Genomic DNA, 20,512 nt, shown 5'->3' with positions numbered 1-20,512 from the left:
ATCACGAGGAAACTCAGGAGCGATAGCAACAGGAGACCCCATGTGAGGGATCCTAGTGACATCCTACTTGGAAGGGCTGTCCAGGGAGCTGGGGCTGTCCAGAGAGCCGGAGCCATCCGTAGCAGCTCAGAAGCATGCGAGCTGCAGGTTCTTCCTCTTGATTAATTTCTTGTCAATGAAATACTTTCAGTTTCACCAGTTGAACATTTAGCTGTATGTAGTTTTCAAAAATAATGCCACCAAAAAAAAAGAGAATCTCAGATTGGCTTGAAATTCTGCCATAAATGCCTTATAAAACACACACCTGTAGAATTTCAGATGAGATTAAAGCACTAGCTAAAATTTTTTGTTGTTTTGTGTGTTCCATGCTTTAAGTAAAACACTCAGATTTGCTGTGAACACTATGAACACAGAAAAAAAAAAAGACCCAATTTGGTAATACTTCCCTTCGTAGTAGCTTTTCCCAACAAAACAGCCACCTCCTAAACACAGGCACTGGTAACACCCTCGCCTTCTACTCCCCCACCACCATGGCAAAAACCCCCAGCCACTCCTGGGGGCGTTAGAAGGCAGAGAGTGCACCCTGGGACAAGGCAAGGTGGCCAACATGCAGCTTCAGCCTGGGCTCACCACCACATACCCCAGCATTCTTCTGCATCGCCCACAGCTCCACCAGGCTCCTTCTCCAGCACTCACCTGAGCAGGGAACTGCTAGTCACAGAGGCCCACTGCCTGAGGTTTGGTGGCTCAGCTCCTGCCATGCTCCAGAAAAGCATGAATGGTCTTAGCAATATCTAAGATGGTGAGTCCTTTCCAGAAGGTTTTAAATTTACTTTGCCCAGGTCCATCAGAGGAGCCTCTATCTGTGGCAGCTATTGCCTTATGAAATGTATTTCTTAAATAATAATACTTGAAAGTCAAAATTCCCCGGGCATGGTGGCCCACACCTGTAATTCCAGCACTTTGGGAGGTGAAGGCAGGTGGATCACCTAAGGTCAGGAGTTCAAGACCAGCCTGGCCAACATGGCAAAACCCTGTCTCTAGTAAAAATACAAAAATTAGCTGGGCGTGGTGGCAGGTGCCTGTAATCCTAGCTACTGGGGAGGCTGAGGTGGGGAGAATTGCTTGAACCTGGGAGGCCAAGGTCTCAGTGAGCCAAAATGGCGCCACTGCACTTGAGCCTGAGCAACAGAGTGAGACTTTGTCTCAAAAAAAAAAAAAAAAAGTCAAAATTACTCCTTGATCCATGAGCTACAGAATGTATGTTGTGTTAGCAGGCATGAAAACATTAATCTCCTTGTGCATCTCCGTCAGAGCTCTTGGATGACTAGGTGCATTGTCAAGGAGCAGTAATATTTTGCAACGAATTTTGTTTTTCCTGAGTAGTAAGTCTGCAGTGGGCTTAAATTATTCAGTTAACCATTCTGTAAACAGATGTGCTGTCATCCAGGCCTTGTTGTTCCATTTATAGAGCACAGGCAGAATAGATTTAGCATAACTCTTAAGTGCCCTAGGATTTTCAGTCTGGCCAATGAGCATTGGCTTTAACCTAAAGTCACCAGGTGCATTAGTTCCTAACAGGAGCATCAGCCTGACCTTCACAGGTTTGAAGCCAGGCACTGACTTCTCCTCTCTAGCTATGAAAGTCTTAGATGGCATCTTCTTCCAATATAAGGCTTTTCATCTCCATTGAGAATCTGTTGTTTAGTGAAGCCACCTTCATCAATGGTCTTATCTAGATCTTATGGATAACTTGCTACAACTACATCAGCACTTGCTGCCTCACCTTGCACTTTTATGTAATAGAGATGACTTCTTGTCTTAAACCTCATGAACCAACCTCTGCTGGCTTCAAACTTCTTCTGGAGCTTTCTTACCTCCCCAGCCTTCATAGAATTGAGGAGAGTTAGTGGTGCCTAGCTCTAGATTAGACTTTGGCGTAAGGGAATGTTTTGGCAGGTTTGTTCTTATATCCAGCACACTAAAACTTTATCCATATCATTCATGTAGCACTTCAAATTTCCTTCAAGAGGTTGGGTGCAGTGGCTCACGCCTGTAATCCCAACACTTTGGGAGGCCGAGGTGGACGGATCACTTGAGGTCATGAGTTCGAGACCAGCCTAGCCAACTTGGTGAAACCCCGTCTCTACTAAAAATACAAAAACAACTAGCCAGGTGTGGTGGTGCGTGCCTGTAATCCCAGCTACTCAGGAGGCTGAGGCAGGAGAATCGCTTGAACCTGGGAAGCAGAGGTTGCAGTGAGCCAAGATCACACCACTGCACTCCAGCCTGGGCAACAGAGTGAAACTCCATCTCAAAAACAAACAAAACAAAACAAAAAAGAAACAAAATCCTAGCTTTTTCCATGCTGATAGTGCTCACGCAAACATGGTGAACGTTCCTAAAACCCGCTGGACTTGTGTCAGAAGTGTGGCAAGCACCAACCCCACAAAGTGACACAGTAAAAAGGGCAAGGATTCTCTGTATGCCCAGGGAAAGTGGCGTTATGACAGGAAGCAGAGTGGCTGTAGTGGGCAAACTAAGCCGATTTTCTGGAAAAAGGCTAAAACTACAAAGAAGATTGTGCTAAGGCTTGAGTGCGTTGAGCCCAACTGCAGGTCTAAGAGAATGCTGGCTATTAAAAGAGGCAAGCATTCTGAACTGGGAGGAGGTAAGAAGAGAAAGGGCTAAGTGATCCAGTTCTAAGTGTTACCTTTTCTTTTATTATGAAGACAATAAAACCTTGAGTTTATATTCACTTAAAAAAAATTCCTTCAAGAACATTTTCTTTGCATTCACAACCTGGCTAACTGTTTGGTACAAGAGGCCTCACTTTCGGCCTGTGGTAATTAGACATAGTAGTGTTCTATTTCTTCAGTAGCCACATTCCTGGCAGTAGTAACCATGAAAACATGGCTCTCTGCTATGGTATTACCACACACCTCTGTCATGTGGTTAAGTATAAAGCACTGAATTGTAAATCATTTATTTTGAAATTCATTCATATAAACAAATAAGTTCAAAGTTATCCTCACGATAACATGACTGTCCTTCAAATTTTGATACGTTTTCTTGAGTGCAAAGAATGATGTGGAGGTACAGCTCTTACCCTAAGGGGCTACACACGATCCACAGGATCCTCCTACTTGAACTAGAGCCCTTATGTGGGTGCCAGATGTCCATGGGCATATGTCTTATTTTTGAATGTCTTTGGATATATGTGTTATGGTGGAGAGAGTTGAACAATTGTGCTAAAACCTAGCTTTGAATTTAGAGATATACCACTACCTCCCCTCCCCTTCCCAAAGAAAAATCTGGGGGCAGTAGAAATTGCTCACAAAAGCGGATTCCAACTTGTACCTTAGGAGAGACCCTGTCCCCTCCCTCAGTCTTTTTATTCTTTCTTGTTTTTATTAATGAGTTCTTATACTTTTGATTTACTGTTGAATTAAAAGCAATACATTAAAATGGAGAAGGACGCCAACCTGACAGTAGAGAACAATGGCAAGAGCCGCTAAGGTCAAAGACAGAAATGTTAAAGCTGGCAGAGGAGTTAAAAGGATTACAGTCTGGAGCTACCTAATGAGTGAGGGAAGTAGCATTGTACACTCTAGTAGCCTCTGAGGCATCCCAGCATTGAGTGAGAAACAGGTAATAAATGTTTGTGATGATTTCTCCAGTTAACTAGAAAAGGTGGAATTTTATCCAGTATACAGTTTGGAGCACTGAGATGTAAATAGTAGCTTATCTTGACAAATTTTACTGCAACTAATTCACATTAATTATAAATATTTAGAAACATGAAAGAAAAGATATATAAAACAACTCATATCACCCATAGATTTAATTACTTTTAGCACATTAGTATGGTATTTAGCTCTTCAGCCCTTTTCTATGTATAAAGATAGTATATAATAAGATATATTTGCATATTATATAAAATACATGTTATATAATATATATACCAAATTTATGTGTGAGAACATGAAGCCTGCTTTTTTATTTAAAAAAAATTTACTTGTGGTAAAAATACACAATAAAAAGTATACCCTCTTAACCATTTTGTAAAGCCTGTTTTTTTAAACTCAATAATATGTTGTGAACATTTTTCCATATCACTGAGTATAGATGTTTATTTTAAGGCTGCATGGATATACCATAATCTAGTTAGTCAATTTCCTAGTGCTAAATATTTAGGTTTCCAACTTTGGTTATTAACACTGCATAAAGCATCTTTAAATATATATACTTCTACATTTCATCAGAGTCCCAAAATAATTGTTGGATCAATGGATGTCTACTTTCTGAATGCTTCCAATGTATCTTATCAAAGCACACTTCTGTTTCACTATATTCTTGCCAATATTTGATGTTATAATTCTTTTAAATTAATGTTTATGTAATTTAGTCTTTAATACTAAAAATGCAAGCAGCAGTGGAAACTAAAGTCAATGAGAAAATGCATTTTAGGGAATGTGACGCATGAAGTTATTCAGGCTTATAAACTAGCAAACCACTGGTTCTGTAAGAGAAGAACTTAACACAGCAACTATTTAGAACACAGGCATGATGAGCCTTAAGACACTCACTTGTTCATGGAGTGTACAAAATTCATGTAAGTCTTCATGAATGTGAAGAAATGCCTCATAATTTGAAGAAGAGATGTTAAATGAGTCCAATTATCATAAGCCAAATCTGTGAATCTCAGGGTAGAACTGTGAATCTCAGGGTAGAACTTTATTGAATTTTGTGTAACATTTTTGATGTTGAAACTTTTTTTCACTTGCCACTAACTTTGTGGGTTTTGTTTTATTTGCCACAGAGAAGTTTCACATTTTAATGAGGAAGAAATGAATCAAATTTTTGGTTACTCTTTTCATGTTATGTTTATAGAAAACCATCTCTACCTCCAAAGTTATAGTACAGTTGTAATTTTCTTTTAGCAGTTTTACAGTTTTATTTTTGACACTTAAGTCAGAAGTTGCAAACATTTTTATTGAATAGACCGCTGTTGTGGGGGGCTGTCCTGTGCATTATTAGGATGTTGGCATCCCTTGACCTCTGCCCACTTGATGCCAGCAGCACCCCTTGTCTCCCCAGTTGTGACAACTGGAAATGTCTCCAGATATTGCCAGTTGCCCTCTTTGGGCCAAAACTACCCTCTCTTGAGAAGCAGTGGTATGATAAACCTTAAAGTGAGTTGAGGCAGTACCCAATAAGAAACACTGGCAGGACAAGAGACCAGTCATTGGCTGAGTGGAATACTCAGGTCGACTATTTCTTGAAAATTGTATTCTAGTCTAGAGATTGGAGATACTGGGAATTTGGAGCGGTCTTCCTTTTGTTGCAGTTTTGGATTCCAAACTGCAATGAAAGATCTTGGTTCTTCTGCTTCACTTCCTCATTTGCTCTTATTGACCTCTCTGTGGACTAGGAGAACCAGGAGAGGGTAACTGGGAGTTATTAATAAAAGTGTTAGGAAAATTGTCAGCAGATGCCTTGGTGACATCTTGTTCCAACTTTCCAATTTAAGCTCCATTAAACTGGCTGTGGTCTTTGTGGTTTGAAATATAGAACAGGCCAGGCGCAGTGGCTCACGCCTGTAATCCCAGCACTTTGGGAGGCTGAGGCGGGCGGATCACGAGGTCAGGAGTTTGAGACCAGCCTGACCAAAATGATGAAACCCCGTCTCTGCTAAAAATACAAAAATTAGCCAGGCGTGGCGGTGGGCACCTGTAATCCCAGCTACTCAGGAGGCTGAGGCAGGAGAATCGCCTGAACCTGGGAGGCAGAGGTTGTAGTGAGCCGAGATTGCGCCACTGCACTCCAGCCTGGGAGGCAGAGGTTGCAGTGAGCCGAGATCACGCCACTGCACTCCAGCCTGGGAGACAGAGCGAGACTCCCTCTCAAAAAAAAAAAAAAAGAAAAAGAAAAAAAGAAAAAAAAATTATAGAACCAACTTTAACCCCGTTGGCTCTAGAATAAAGTGATTTATGAGTCTTTTATGAAGACATCATCCTGCAACATAGTCTTATTTCTCTTTCCCTGGTTTACCATGGCTTGTAGGAATGATACTTCCATACCTTGGTGGCATATGGTAAATCTCTTGGGTACGGTCACAGTGGTGTTGGTCAGTAGACCTTACTGGTTTTGATTGATCACCAGTTATTTCATGCTCCTGTAGAGCCTGGGTGCTGAACTGGGCTTCATTTTCTTCTTTGCTGTTGTGACCTTTTGAGTTGAGTTCTTTCTCCACTTTGTGCCTAAATCTCCATATTTCTAAAAGTCATAGAGAGTGACTGATGATATTTATAATGTTAACTCCTTAACTGTAGATATTCTAACTACAGTTTAAATAAATGCTCCATACAATATGGACATAGAAAATGGATTTGCCTTTTCCAATCTTACCAGTCTTTCAGAATTCATCTGAAATCTGTTCGCAAAAAACTTTCCCTAGCAATCGAGCTGACATTCATCTTTCCATAGTAGGTGCTCGATGTAGGCTTATATTTTTTCTCAATGTCTCATGCCTTATCGCTCCAATAAAGTTTGTGTTTTGGGGAGGTGGGAATGGAGATTGGAAGAGACAGTACATTTTGTTGCCATATTAAATCTCTCGTGATTTATTTCATTTGACTTTTCTACTAATTTTAAGATTGATAGGATATACTTATTCCCATTTTACAACTGTGAAAATGGAGCTTTAGAGAAGTTGAGGCTTTTCCAGTTAGTAGATGGTTAAGCCAAAGATAGTATGTATTGATATTGGGATTCCTAACTAGAGAAATTGTGCAAATCTAAAAATGGTTTTTGATTTGCTCCTGTATCTGCAATATGCAGAATCTTAGCGTTGCCAGTTAAAAATTGAGACATCTAAGCCTGCTATATTAAGTAGGCTGTGTACAAGGTTAGTGGGGATGGCTTATGCTGAATCACTCCTGCCCTGGCTCTGTCCTCCAGGAAGGACAGGCACTGCGGAATGGCAGTCTGGGGGTGGGTGTACCGACTGATCAAAACAGTTTCTCTGTATAGCTTTCTTGGAATGTGTGCTCTCCTCTGTTCTCAGGCATCTTTGCTAACCAAAGCCCCCAGTGTCCTCTGCTTTAATCCTTAGCATTTCTGCTGCTACGGAAAGGGCTTTGTGATAAAATACCAACGAAAAGTGGGTGGTTTAGGGGCAGGTTCCAGTCGGCCTCTTTTTCACATTTCTGATATGTACTGAAGTGACTAGGAAGTTAATGCGCCTTGTCTAGTTTGTGGAGACTGTAGAGAATGACATGATGTGTTCTGCTGGAGGAAGAGGATGATGGAGTCTTGTTTTTACCTGAGCTCATGCAGTGGTAGTGAAGCTCCCAGCTTATCTTCCTGTCTGGCTTCCATTGCTGGTCGTCCCTAGTGAGCAGAGCCATTCAGAGGTTTTTTGACTTATTCCCTGGCCTGGCAGAGCTAGCTTCTATGAATTTTTTTTTTAATCAGAACCAGTTGGACCATGTTCTCTTTTTATTATCTTGCTTGGCTTTCTTCTGTGGAGACAAAATGGAGCTACCTTAAAACAAAGTAGGAGCTGCTCACTTCCCTGTGCCTGACTCTACTCCAGGTACTTTGTTATCTGTACCTGAACGCTCAAGGCAGATCATTCCTAGGGATTGCTCTCTGCTTTCAGGACACTTCCATCAGCTTTTCGGACCCAATACTCCTTTACTTTCTTTCTTTCTTTTTTTTTTTTTTTTTTTTTGAGACAGAGTTTCTCTTTGTTGCCCAGGCTGGAGTACAATGGCGCGATCTCGGCTCACTGCAACCTCCGCCTCCCGGGTTCAAGAGATTCTCCTGCCTCAGCCTCCCAAGTAGCTGGGATTACAGGCATGCGCCATCAAGCCCGGCTAATTTTTGTATTTTTAATAGAGACAGGGTTTCATCATATTGGTCAGGCTGGTCTCGAACTCCTGACCTCTGGTGATCTGCCTGCCTCGGCCTCCCAAAGTGTTGGGATTACAGGCATGAGCCACTGTGCCTGGCCCCAATACTCCTTTACTTTCTTTGAGTTACAATGTTGCATCTATTCTGTTCACAGCCCCTAGGACTCCTTTTCCTGCTGATCTTTCTAGGTCTTGACTCTCTGCCTCGTTGCTTGACCGCTACCCGGCTTCAGAGTCCAATAATTATATTTTCAACTTTGTCCTGTATATGCTCCACTTCTTGGCTGGAACTCTGTTCAGTTTATTTCCTGACTTTGAACTATCTCCACGTAGTGCCACCTTGTTTCCTGATCTAAGGACTGTGCAACTCCTCTCCAGTCGGCCACATCTCTGACCAAGGGATTCAGTGAAAACTCTGGTTTCTCACCTGAACTTTGATCTTTAACCCCAGCTGACACTAGTAATGGCCTTTGTGATCAGGCTCTGAAAGAAGACTGACTTCATGTGAACCATGTGAGCATATTGTTCATATATCCCTCAAGGTGGATTCCTTCTTTTCTAAAAGGCATCTAAAAAGCAACGGAAGTTCTTTTGAAAATCAGAGGCTGCCTTTTTGGTAGCAGTTCTTTCATTTATTCTGTAGAGGATCCAGATTGAGCTCTTTATAAAATATTCTCCTACATAATGTACTGGGATAGTCCTAACAATAGTAAACCTTGATCCACAGATCACATGTGCCATTGGATAAAAATAAATAATGCAGAGGAACTCAATAAGACCAGCCTGTTTAAAGGAGACATCATAAAAACCTCCATTAAAAAAAGAAAAAAAAAATCATGTAGCTGTGGTAGCAAGTATAAAACAAATGTAAGAACTGAGGAGTAACAAAATGATGCAATTAGCTTAGCACCCACAGATGGTTTCAGATACACTCAGATGTCACAGGCATCCAGGACTAGGCCTGCTTTGATCATTTGGAGGGCAGGATTTCTGGATACCTGCGTCACCTGTAGCCATCTACTGCTGAAACAAACCGTTATAACAGAGAGGGAGTTCTTAGTTAAGGGAATGGGTTTACTCTTCTTTCTTACTATAAGGGATGGGGAAACTGATGTCCGTGACAAATACTGAAAGTGGAGCATGTCCTATATCAGCAAAAGTTCCCATAACTAGAGTTTTTCTGAAGGTGCAGGTGATGTCAGGTACCCACCTGATGGGCCTTACTTAGGAAAGAAGGGGGTGGAGGAGACAGGGATGAACATTTGTTAAGAGCTTCTGTGTTTAGATGTGTGCCGGGTGCTTTATGATGCTGTCTCACATAATCTTCACAATAACCTCTGTGGAACAGGGGATGGTTGCTCATGTTATATGTGAACTCAGGTCACGTTACTATGGAGTGTTGGCTGTGGGATTTGAACCCTTATCTAACTCCAAAGTCTTGCTCCTTAGAAATGAAGCAGGTTTGGCTGGGCATGGTAGCTCATGCCTGTAATCCCAGCACTTTAGGGAGGCTGAGGTAGGAGGATCGCTTGAGGCCAGGGGTTCAAGACCAGCCTGGACAACATAGTGAGACCTTGTCTCTACAAAAAATTTAAAAAAAAGAAAAAAGAAATGAGGCCTGGCATGGTGGCTTATGCTTGTAACTCCCAACATTTTGGGAGGCCAAGGTAGGAAGATCACTTGAGCCCAGGAGTTCAAGACCAGCCTGAGCAACATAGTAAAACTCTGTCTCTACAAAAAAATTTAAAAATATTAGCTGGGCAACTGGGTGCAGTGGCTTACACCTGTAATCTCAGCACTTTGGGAGGCTGAGGCAGGTGGATCACCTGAGGTCAGGAGTTCAAGACCAGTCTGGCTAACATGGCGAAACCCAGTCTCTACTAAAAATACAAAAATTAGCTGGGCATGGTGGCATGCCCCTGTAATACCAGCTACTTGGGAGGCTGAGACAGGAGAATCACTTGAACCCAAGAGGCGGAGGTTGCAGTGAGCCGAGATCCCGCCACTGCACTCCAGCCTGGGCAACAAGAGCGAAACGACATCAAAAAAATATATATATATATATACACACACATATATACATATACACATATGTATATATATGTGTATATATACACATGTGTATATATGTACACACGTGTGTGTATATATGTGTGTGTACACGCATATGTGTATATATGTGTGTGTGCACGCATATGTGTATATATGTGCGTATATATACATGCGTATATACGTGTGTATACATGTGTGTATATATACACATGTGTATATATATATAAGCTGAGCATGGTGGCAAGCCCCTGTAGTCCTAGCTATTCGAGAGGCTGAGATGGAAGGATTGCTTGAGCCCAGGAGGTCGAGGCTGCAGCGAGCTGTCAGCATGCCATCGTACTCCAGCCTGGGCAACAGAACAAGACCCTGTCTTTAAAAAAAAAAAAGTTTTTTTTTAAAGAAAAGAAATGAGGCAGGTTTGCTTTAGAAAATGAAAGCTGCTGATTTGGGCAGAAAGGCAGAAGATATGGAAGAAGGACCCAGCCTCAAGTCCCTTGTTCCTTGAAGATTAGAAGATTACTGCATTTGAAAGCATGGTGCATTGGTTCTCACAGCTAACTGCCTATTAGGCTCACCTGTGCAGATTTTACCCTCCGCCCGACCCAAACCCACCACCCTAAGGATTTTGAATCTCAGTATGTTCCAGCTGGGAAACTGGAGAATTATCTTTTTAAAAACTTCCAAGGTGATTCTGATGTGCTGTTAGAATTGAGAAACTTTTCTGTGTCTAAAGAACAATGGAATGAATGTGAGCCCGGGAGTGGCCCTAGGGATAATCTTTCCAACTCTTTTGTGATATAGGAGAGAAAACTAAGGCCCAGAGATCTCAGAAGCCAGACACTCCTTCATTCAGTAGTTACCGAGCATTGACTTTGTTATTCTAGGTGATTCAGACAATGCAAAGAAAAATACTTTCCTTGTCTTTGAAGAGTTTTTAGCCTAAGATCACATAGCTGGTTAATGCAGAGCCACAATTGGAACCCAGGTTTCCTGACGTCTTTTGTGTTTTTAAGCCTTTTGAATATTGTCATTGCCAGGCCCTCTTTGAGCTCCTGAAGCTCTGTAAATGGTTCCTCAACACTGTGGTAAGTTGCCTCCAAAGCCCATGGTTACCTTGTGCCAAAAGTCCCCTGCCTGCCTTTCTGCCTCATTACCAGCCTGGTATTCAACCACCCACTTTGCCTTAGGTTCATAGGCCCACAGGTTTTCAGTTGACTGCTTTGTTCTCAGTTCATTTTTAAGCATCTCACCTGGAAAAGGCCTGAAAAAGCTGCATAATGATTATTTTAGAAATGCAGTGCTTAGACAAAACCTGCCCCACTGGTGGTCACCCTGATCTCTTTGCTATTCTTTTTAATGAGTTCATAATCCTCCGGTTCATCTCACAGTGTTCTTGTAGACTGCATATTTTTCGGAGTTTTTCCCAGACCCCTTGGGGCAGTGACGTGCGGAGGGCAGGGAGCACTCCGCACCAATCAGGCAGAGGGTGGTGCCAGAGGGAAGGTGGAGGGAAGAGTTGTTTGCCCAGCACTGTGCTAGGCCAATTTTTGTATATTTTTTTCTTTAGTGCTTTTCAATAGCTTTGGGGGAGAAAGTTTCCACATCTGTAAAATATGGATAATAACTGAGGCTTAAAGAAGTTAAGTAACTTTCTCAAGTTTATGTAAACAAGTTTCATTGCTAGAAATCAAACCCTGGAAACTACTGACTGAAAGGTCATCCTCTTTTCCTAGTACCATATGCCACATCATATGTAAAACTTTTGATCTAGTCCAAACATACTTTTTGGGTAAGTGATTCTTAAATTTGGTTTCTGGTATTTTTCAGTAGGTTTTAGAACTCAAGGCTGCCTTTAACGATGCAGGAGAGATACAGGACTTTGGACAGGACTCTGGAGAGGAGGGTAGCGTTAGGTATTGGAGTCTGAGAATTGCAGTGATGACAGGCACCAAGCTCCTAGGCCAGCCCATTGGAACCAGGGGCCAACATAACTACTGTCCCAGTCCAGGGTCAGAACTTGGAAAACTCAGTGCCGAAGCATAAATGTTAACCAGAGGTCCTTGGGGAGTTGGGGTGGTGTGGGGACATGGACCTCTAGCTTAAGAATATCTCCTGGCTGGGCGCAGTGGCTCACACCTGTAGTCCCAATACTTTGGGAGGCCGGGCCAGGAGGATTGCTTGAAGCCAGGGATTTGAAACCAGCCTGGGCAACAAAGTGAGACCCCATCTCTACAAAAAATTAATTTAAAAAAGAATATCTCTTATATGTTATGCCAATTGGAGATTATAGATCTCTCCTTTTCATAGAATAGTCTCTTCTTATAATCCTCGATTAAAGCTTGAATTTTTATGTAGTTTTTTTGGATAACACTTATCTGGACCTCAGTTTTTGAATCTACAAAATGATAATTTGGGTTTATTGTGATGAGGAAATGGGAACATGTATGTAGATGACTTTTCTTCACTGTAGACTATTCATACAGATATGAGATGGGTATGAGACCCAGGATCCCTAAAAACAGATTGGTAAGAAAGGCAGTGTAGTTGTTGGGCAAAGGGAACAGTGATTTTTAGAGTGTGGAAAGCTCTAGGAGAAGGAGGGAGACCAGAGTGGGGATGCTGCACTGGAAGTGAGGTGGAAGGCTTTAGATTTCCTGGTGAGTAATCGAGGTCTCTGAGTGCCTGGGGTTGAAGGTTGAGGGAGTTCAAAGACTTGATGCTGACCTGGGATCTTACTGAGACCAGTCGCTGCCTGTGTGCGTGAGGATACCACCTTGTGCAATCTAGTTCAATGGTGTGTCACCAAGAGCCTGACCTGACACCTAAATGTGACGTAGTGTCCCTTAGAAATCATGTCATGTGATGTAACGTTTAGCTTGAGTCCTGTATTAGAACCAGTGCAACTGGGGATTGGCTTGAGGCAAGTTCCCAACTTGAAACAAGTTGGGAAACCAAGGCACCAAGAGAAAAAGTTACCCCTACAAGTCTGGACTATTCAAAACTGAAGCTGAAAGCAACCTTCTGACTCTGACTTTCTTATACTCTTACCCCATTTCTTTTCTTTTATCAAAACATGGTATTACCAAGTTCCCAAGAGCGAATTATAATTAAAGTAACCACAGTGTAAAGCTCATCAACCCAGAGTCTCGGAATGAGGTGGAGAGAAGCTAGTTAGAGAAGAGGTATTATGTAATGACCTAATTATGAGGCCTGCCATCTGCTTAGGAGTCACGCCTGCCTGGTTAGGATTCCCTGATTGTGTTTTTTAAGGAAGATGCTAGATTGTTAAAGGGGGTAGGGAGAGAAGGTAACTATACCAGAATCATTAGGGCCTTTCTTGAAGGAGGCGGGTGGGTTTTGCGGGGAGGGAGATGAAGCAGCCATGGAGGGCTCCTAAGCAGATGTTCCCCATTAGCTTGGAGAGCAGTGTAGAAGGTTAATTATTCTGTAAAAGAGGTTCCTTATTAGGGAAGGGTGGTCAGGTGAAGCTGGCTATCAGAACATGGCTGATACCCCAGGTTTACCTGGAGAGACAACTAAGACATTTTTTTTCCATTCAGGGGAAAGAGTGAGAAATCCACTTTATTTTTTTAAGTGGACATTTTGTGCTGTGGATGAAGATCCGTAGCTTGAAAAAATATCCAGAAACTTGAAAAAGTGGAACGAAGTCAACTTAGAATAGAAACACAAACCACAATGCTCATGGCACCTAGTGAGTTGCCTCTAAAGGGACTCAGGGCCAAGAATCAGATGAAAAAATTGTACACATATCAAGAAAGTGGCAGGTGAAGAGAGTGAGTCTTTGGACCCACTAAGGGTATAGCTCTAATGCTGAACGGGCTCTTTGGACTTTCAGCCATGAAGCCGAGACCCAGGAGGATGTGGACACACTGCTTGTACTGCTTGTACAGTAGACATACAAGGAGTGACTTTCAAGGAAATTATTAAACTTCCTGAACACTCTTTCAGAGAATCTTTAACAGAAAATCTCTTTGCCTTCAGGTTTCAAAAATGTGCCTATATTAGGGAGATCAGAGTGATTGGAGCATAAAGAGTGAATATCCCCAAGGAAGTAATGCTTCCCTAATTCCTGCCTCTACTTCCCACCTGTCAGGGAGCTTCTTTTAATTTACTTCCATCCTCTGCTCACCACCACACTCCAGTGTGAAAGCAATGTTGTCTTTTAAAGAATTAGTAATTCAAATCCCTGTATAGAATTTCGGAGGTTATTTGGTGTATTTCATATCCCTGAAGAATCACCAAAATGTGGCAAATGTCCAGCTCCAAAGGTGAGAGATGTTTATGTCCCTCACTTTCACTTTATAAATAAGGAAACTGAGGGCCAGTGAAGTATAGTGACTTGCTCAAGGTCATAGCTTGTTATTTGTGGAACTTGGACCACAACTAGGCCTCCTGACTCCTGATGGTTCTTTCTGTTGCCTTTTGGTATCTCTCACGTGGAGTTTTATTTGAATTGCTGCCAGGAGTTCTGTGGCTGTGGCAGTTACATATGATCACGGTGGGTGTAACTGCACAGTCAACAGATATAACCCTGTAGGGGTAATATGGGGCTCTCACTGGTGTCTTAACTTCCAGCAACAGAGTCCTCAGAGCTCCAGGGAAGAGTTTTGAGATGCTAGACATCAGCATTCTTTCTGTAAGTTTGCAATGACTTTGGAACAGAAAATTTTATTTCCACATCTGAGTCTGTCTCTTCTCTTCCTTTTGACCACCACTTCTTGTTGGACACTGTTTGTGGAGTGTGGACTAACCTTGTGTCTTTCACTTGATTTTTTTAACATTCAAACTTTTAGCTTGAGCAGACAGCTGGCAAGAGGTTTCTCTGTAGAATATTGAATAGCCATTTAGAATGTGGGTTATGATGTTCCGCCCTCACCCCCCAGTAGCAGGTCTTTTTAGGGGACAGGAATTTGCAAAGTCATTAGCTTCCTTCCCCAGACCAAAAGAGCCAGCGTGGGCAAACTTCCTCACCACCTCTCCCACCCCGAAACCACTGGTAGGGTTTATTTAATTTAGTCTTGTGCATGTGTGCACGCACACACACGCGCACACACACGCACACACACACGTGCACACACACGCACACACGGAGGTTTTTCATGTATAGAGATACTCTGATTCTATTCTAAGTGTTCTCAGTATACTGCAGTTTCTACTTCTTATTTCAAAGAGATCTGAAATATGTCCTGATCCTGGGACAGTGGTTCCCCAAACTGGCAGATGATCTGTGTTGTCTGTGAGGCTTTTGTAAAAAATAGATCCAGGGCCCCACTCAGGCTTGCTGAATCAGACTCTATCAGCATTTAGCTATTTATTTACTAAGTACTTTATCAGTGATGTAATACATATTTTGTAAATTAGGTACTTAATAAGTAGCTTATGAATTTTACAAAATGCAAAAGCCAAAATTTGTCTTTAAAAAAATATTTTTCACACGACACTGATTTATCTTCAAAAATGCACTTTTTTTTTTTTAAAGACAGGGCACTCTGTCACCCAGGCTGGAATGCAGTGACGCAATCATGGCTCACTGCAGCTTCAACCACCTGGGCTCAAGCAATTCTCCCACCACAGCCTCTTGAGTAGCTAGGACCACAGATGCGCACCACCATGCCTGGCTAAGTTTTTAAAAAATTATTTTGTAGAGACTGGGTCTCGCTGTGTTGCCCAGGCCGGTCTCAAATTCCTGGGCTCAAGTGATCTTCCCACTTCAGCCTCCCAAAGTGCTGGGATTATAGGCATGAACCACCATGCCCAGCCCAAAAAAGATCTATTTTTAACCTAAAGAAAGTGTTTTGCGTCAATTTTCAACCTGTTATCATAAATGTACATTTTTAAATTACTCCCTTTTTTGAAGCCCTGAATTAAAACGTTGCTCTGCAATTTAGCAATCTCATTTGACACTCGGCAGGTGGGCCAGTCCATTTTCAAATGGGCCATTTTCAAACGTATTTAGAGAATACTTTTCACTAGTCATCCTTATATTATTGCAGAAAAAAATACATTCACTCTACAATGCCACACTGATTGTAGTGCACTGTTTTTAAAAAAACAAAACCAGCTGGGCGCAGTGGCTCACTCCTGTAATTCCAGCACTTTGGGAGGCTGAGGTGGGTGGATCATGAGGTCAGGAGCCAACGTGGTGAAACCCCATCTCTACTGAAAATACAAAAATTAGCTGGGTGTGGTGGCGTGTGCCTGTAATCCCAGCTACTCAGGAGGCTGAGGCAGGAGAATTGCTTGAACCCGGGAGGCGGAGGTTGCAGTGAGCCGAGATCGTGCCACTGCACTCCAGCCTGGGAGACAGAGTGAGATTCCGTCTCAATAAATAAATAAATAAAATTAAAAAACAAAACCTTTTGTCCTCTCAGCAGGCTCTAGATAAATTCATAAGCTACTTATTAAATATCTAATATGTAAAGCATGTGTTACTTACATGTACTTCTATAAAAAAAAAAAGATCATTTTTATTAATTTGCTTGTAAACTTGCATAGTTTAAAAACTTGTAACAAAATGCAACCCTAAATATGCATATGACTGTCCTTGGGCTGGTGGTGACCATCATTTTGCGCATTAGACTGAATATAGAAAAAGCACACATACTCTGCTCAAAGAATGTAGTGCATTAAAGCCTTCATAGAGTTCATGTAATTCAGTCTTTTGGTTTTATAGATAGGAGAGCTGAGATCAAGTGAGAAGAAGTGAGTGGATTCAAATGTATTAACCAAGACACTCTGTGGGCACATTAACAGTTATCTACTTAAACGAGCTGAAATAAAAAGGGAAATGTGAAAAAGACAAGTTGGTGGGTGTTTCTAACGGAACCTGGAGCAAAAGTGCTACTGACCCTCGCCAAGAGTCTGAAATTAGAAGAAAAAGGCCACCAGGAGTGTTTCTCTCTCTCTCATCTCTGCTTTTTTTCTGCTTCTGCTTTGGTCTTCTTTTTTAATGCAGATAGACTTTCTCTGTTTAATATTCCTATGGCACCATATGGTTTCCGTGCAGCTCCCACTTTTCACTTGCTGTAGTTTAAGTTGTCTGCACATACTTATACCAAATTCCACTTTTCCAGGAAAGAATCTGAGTTGCCTGGTGTGGATCAGATGTCCATGATGGTCCCATGAAGTCTGGCAAGGATGGGGAAAGGGTATTCTTTAGTACAAACATAATGGGTGGAGGAGAGGGGATGTCCAGAGAAAGGTGGATCATTGAGTTGCACAGACCCCCACCAAAGGTTTCTGTTCTGAGAGTACACTAAGAAATTCTAGTAGTCTAGGAGAAAAATGAGGAGGATCTGAAATAAGCCAGTGGCTGTTAGTATGGGCAGAAGTTAGCAGACTTGAAAGAGATGGAGACAAATCATCAAGATTTGGTTGTTAGTTGGATATTGGGGAGAGGGAGTTTCTGAAGACAGGAAATGGGGTAGATGGTGGTCACAGCATTGGGGAACACAGAAAGGGAGGCTTGGGAGGTATGTGTGGAGGGGACACCTGGGGTTTGATTTCAGTTTTAAACATGTTGAGTTTGGGGTGCCTGTGAAAATTACAAGTGGAAATGTTTATCAGCTTAATTGAGAAAGTCAAATATATGGGTCTGGACCTCTGGAGATAGTTGTCAATATTATGAATGTAATTAAAGGATGTTTAAATGCCTAATGGGTGAAATCAACCAGGGCGCATTTATAGGGTGAACAGAGATGACTCAGGACTGAACGCTGAGGAAACACTGGCAATTAAGGAACAGGAGGAAGACGAACAACTCTAAAGGAGATCAAGAAGTGGACAGAGATGTAGGGGAAATACTGAGCATGTCATGTCCTTTTCTTTGGAAGCCCAAAGGAAAGAGTAGTTTTTAAAATTCTTTATTTTAGACATGGTCTGGCTCTGTCATTGAGGCTGGAGTGCAGTGGCACAGTCTCAGCTTCTCAGCTCACTTCAACCTCCACCTCCCGGGCCCAAGCAATCCTCCCACCTCAGTCTCCTGAGTAGTTGGGTCTCTAGGCATGCACCACCACACCCAGTTAATTTTTGTATTTTTTGTAGAGATGGGGTCTCTCCATGTTGCCCAGTCTAGTCTCAACCCCTCGGCTCAAGCAGTTCTCCCACCTCGGCCTCCCAAAGTACTGGGATTACAGGCATGAGCCACCAGGCCTGGCTGGAAAGAGTGATTCAAGAATGTCACCAGTGAAAAGTGCTCAGTAGCTGTCACACAAGGTGCCATCTGAAAACCATCCGCTTGATTGAGCCACAGAGAGGTCCTGGGCCTTGGAGAGGGCAGAATCTACTTCATAAGAGGTTTCTGAATGACTGGGAGGTAGAATGTGGAGAGAGTGAGAGAATAGACAGGTTGAAATGTCTAGTTGTAAAAGAGAGGAAAGGGGTGGTAGCTAGTTGGATCAAGAAAGAGGTAAAGACGAGGTCAGGAGATCGAGACCATCCTGGCTAACACAGTGAAGCCCCGTCTCTAATAAAAACACAAAAAAATTAGCCGGGCATGGTGGCACGCACCTGTAGTCCCAGCTACTTGGGAGGCTGAGGCAGGAGAACTGCGTGAACCCGGGAGGTGGAGCTTGCAGTGAGCCGAGACCGCGCCACTGCACTCCAGCCTGGGCGACAGAGCGAGACTCCGTCTGAAAAAAAAAAAAAAAAAGAGGTGAAGAGATTTTTGTTTCTTTTTATGATCAGAGAGACTTGGAGCTTGTTTAAACACTGGTGGGAGAAAGGCAGTAGAGAGGGAACAATTTCTTCAGGGAGTGAAGTCCCTAAACGATGGGCTCTAGAGACAGGAGGGGAAGCCAGGCTGGGCTTCAGATAGAGGAGAGCAGGGAATGTAAACGTTGAGGGATTGGGACGTTTTAGGACTTCAGAGTGTTGGTAGATTGGGGTGGTGGAAAGGGAGGAATGGTGGCTCCTCTCAGTGTTCAGAGATTTTTAAATGGCATTTTTGACCCTGGAAATAGCTTCAGATAAAAAAGTAGGTAGCTGTGCTGTATAGATCAGTGGGAGTTGGGGAGGAGGTGGTGCACCTGCAAGCAGGATCTCATTGCATTTGAACTCTAGTCTGAGCCAGGTTGTTGATGTGCTCAGCATTGGACTCTCAGGTTTCCTTAGGATTGAATCACTAATTGCCATGAAGCAGGCTCTGACCACAGTCAGCATCTCTTACTATTCAGCATTCAGAGAAAAGCCTAAAGGCATCTTTCTATTCTATATTTCACTGAAAACATTTTCCGCACTCCCATCACGTCTTCTTACTAATGTAACCCTATCGGGATGTGTGCAAGATCTGATTTTGTCTAATGCTAACCATTTTTCACTTCATCTAAAGCCCTGGACTCGTAGTAATTAATTACTGCTTGAAAGCTGAGAGGTGAGGTGGCCCTGTTCCCTTTAACAGCCCGAGGGAGGGAAGGGGGTGGAGAATGCAATGAATTCTTCCTCTTCTCCAACTCTGGCCCTTCCTTCCACCTCAGATCATGTTGTCTTGGGAGACTGAATTTCTTAGGGTGCCTTAGTGAAGATGAAGGTGAAAGGAATACCCAGGAATGGTGAAAATAAATAGAATTTAAGAATAAGTCCACCATCTCCACCATCCCTGCCCCCTCCCCAACCTACAGCGCTAGCCCCCATGGGAATGTGCTGGCTCTTGGTCTGAGTCCCTCCTGCCTCCTGTGGAGACAGTTGTGGTGAGTGGGGATTAAGAGAAGTCTTGCCCTGGCCTCCTGTTTTGGCACAGTGTAGATTGCACCCTGCTTCCAGCTGTTGAGGCAAGTACAAAGGACAAGAGTAGGGGTTAGGGCCAGGAAGGAAAGAATGTAACTCAATCTTTGAAGCTGAAATCCCTACCACAGCCTGGTCTGGGAAATGATCTCCACTGTGTACCAGTAGTTCTTGGCGCTCTCCCATATTGCCACTCAGCTCTGCCTGTCATGGAGGGTAGAGGGGATGTTTCACCTGGAATGAGTGTTAGGGCACCATTTCTTCTTCACAGCAGGGGAGTAAATTCTACAGAGTAGTCTAGTTCCTCAGGATGGCACCCTGCCCCCTCTTAAGTACGTGGGGTCAGAGATCAGACAGTGGAAAGTCAGGTGAATTTCTTACCTTGCGGTGTCTCATTTTACTTATTGGTAAACTGGGCCTTGAGTCTCTGATGAGTGATGGGTAACTTGGTGAGAAAAGCACAGTAGAACATGCTGGAGGATCCTCTTGTAGGTGGGCTTTAAGAAATGAGCCTGCTAGGCACAGGCCAAGAGCACTGGGCAAACAACCAGATTTTGGGCAGAAGACAGGGGTTCTGCTGCTCAGAGTGAACCTGCAGTTGGTTCCCCGTCGGCAAGACTGGTGTAATAGTACTCGCCTCACAGGCTTGTCATGAGGATGCAATTAGGTAATGCATGTGAAAGTGCTTGGCGCAGAGCTGAATCTCAATAGTGCTGTTTTTGGATGTGTCCTAAACAGATGTGCTGTTAAGTAGCTGGAAGATGTGAAGGTCTGGTAGGGACTAGGCCATGTGGTCTTAA

At 42.9% G+C, this 20,512-nt stretch overlaps 1 protein-coding gene and 1 pseudogene across 5 annotated transcripts in view, besides 2 other annotated features; both read left to right on the top strand.

Annotated features, from left to right (window-relative positions):
• Window positions 1-20,512, top strand: part of AAK1 (AP2 associated kinase 1) — a 185,743-nt gene that overhangs the window by 46,293 nt on the left and 118,938 nt on the right. The window lies entirely within an intron of this gene.
• On the top strand, window positions 2,361-2,763 carry RPL36AP16 (ribosomal protein L36a pseudogene 16; annotated as a pseudogene).
• Window positions 14,336-14,630: a silencer, noted in NCBI's record as "tiled region #3088; HepG2 Repressive DNase matched - State 8:EnhW". NCBI's record gives its function as "represses a minimal TATA promoter and a strong SV40 promoter by Sharpr-MPRA in HepG2 cells {active_cell/tissue: HepG2}" and the evidence as "EXISTENCE:reporter gene assay evidence [ECO:0000049][PMID:27701403]".
• Window positions 19,404-19,904: an enhancer, noted in NCBI's record as "H3K4me1 hESC enhancer chr2:69804675-69805175 (GRCh37/hg19 assembly coordinates)". NCBI's record gives its function as "activates a minimal SCP1, AML or CMV promoter by ChIP-STARR-seq in primed H9 embryonic stem cells {active_cell/tissue: H9 hESC(primed)}" and the evidence as "EXISTENCE:reporter gene assay evidence [ECO:0000049][PMID:30033119]".

Source organism: Homo sapiens, chromosome 2, assembly GCF_000001405.40.
Source record: "Homo sapiens chromosome 2, GRCh38.p14 Primary Assembly".
NCBI classification, from domain to species: Eukaryota; Metazoa; Chordata; class Mammalia; order Primates; family Hominidae; genus Homo; species Homo sapiens.
This window is presented reverse-complemented; position numbering and strand designations above follow the sequence as displayed.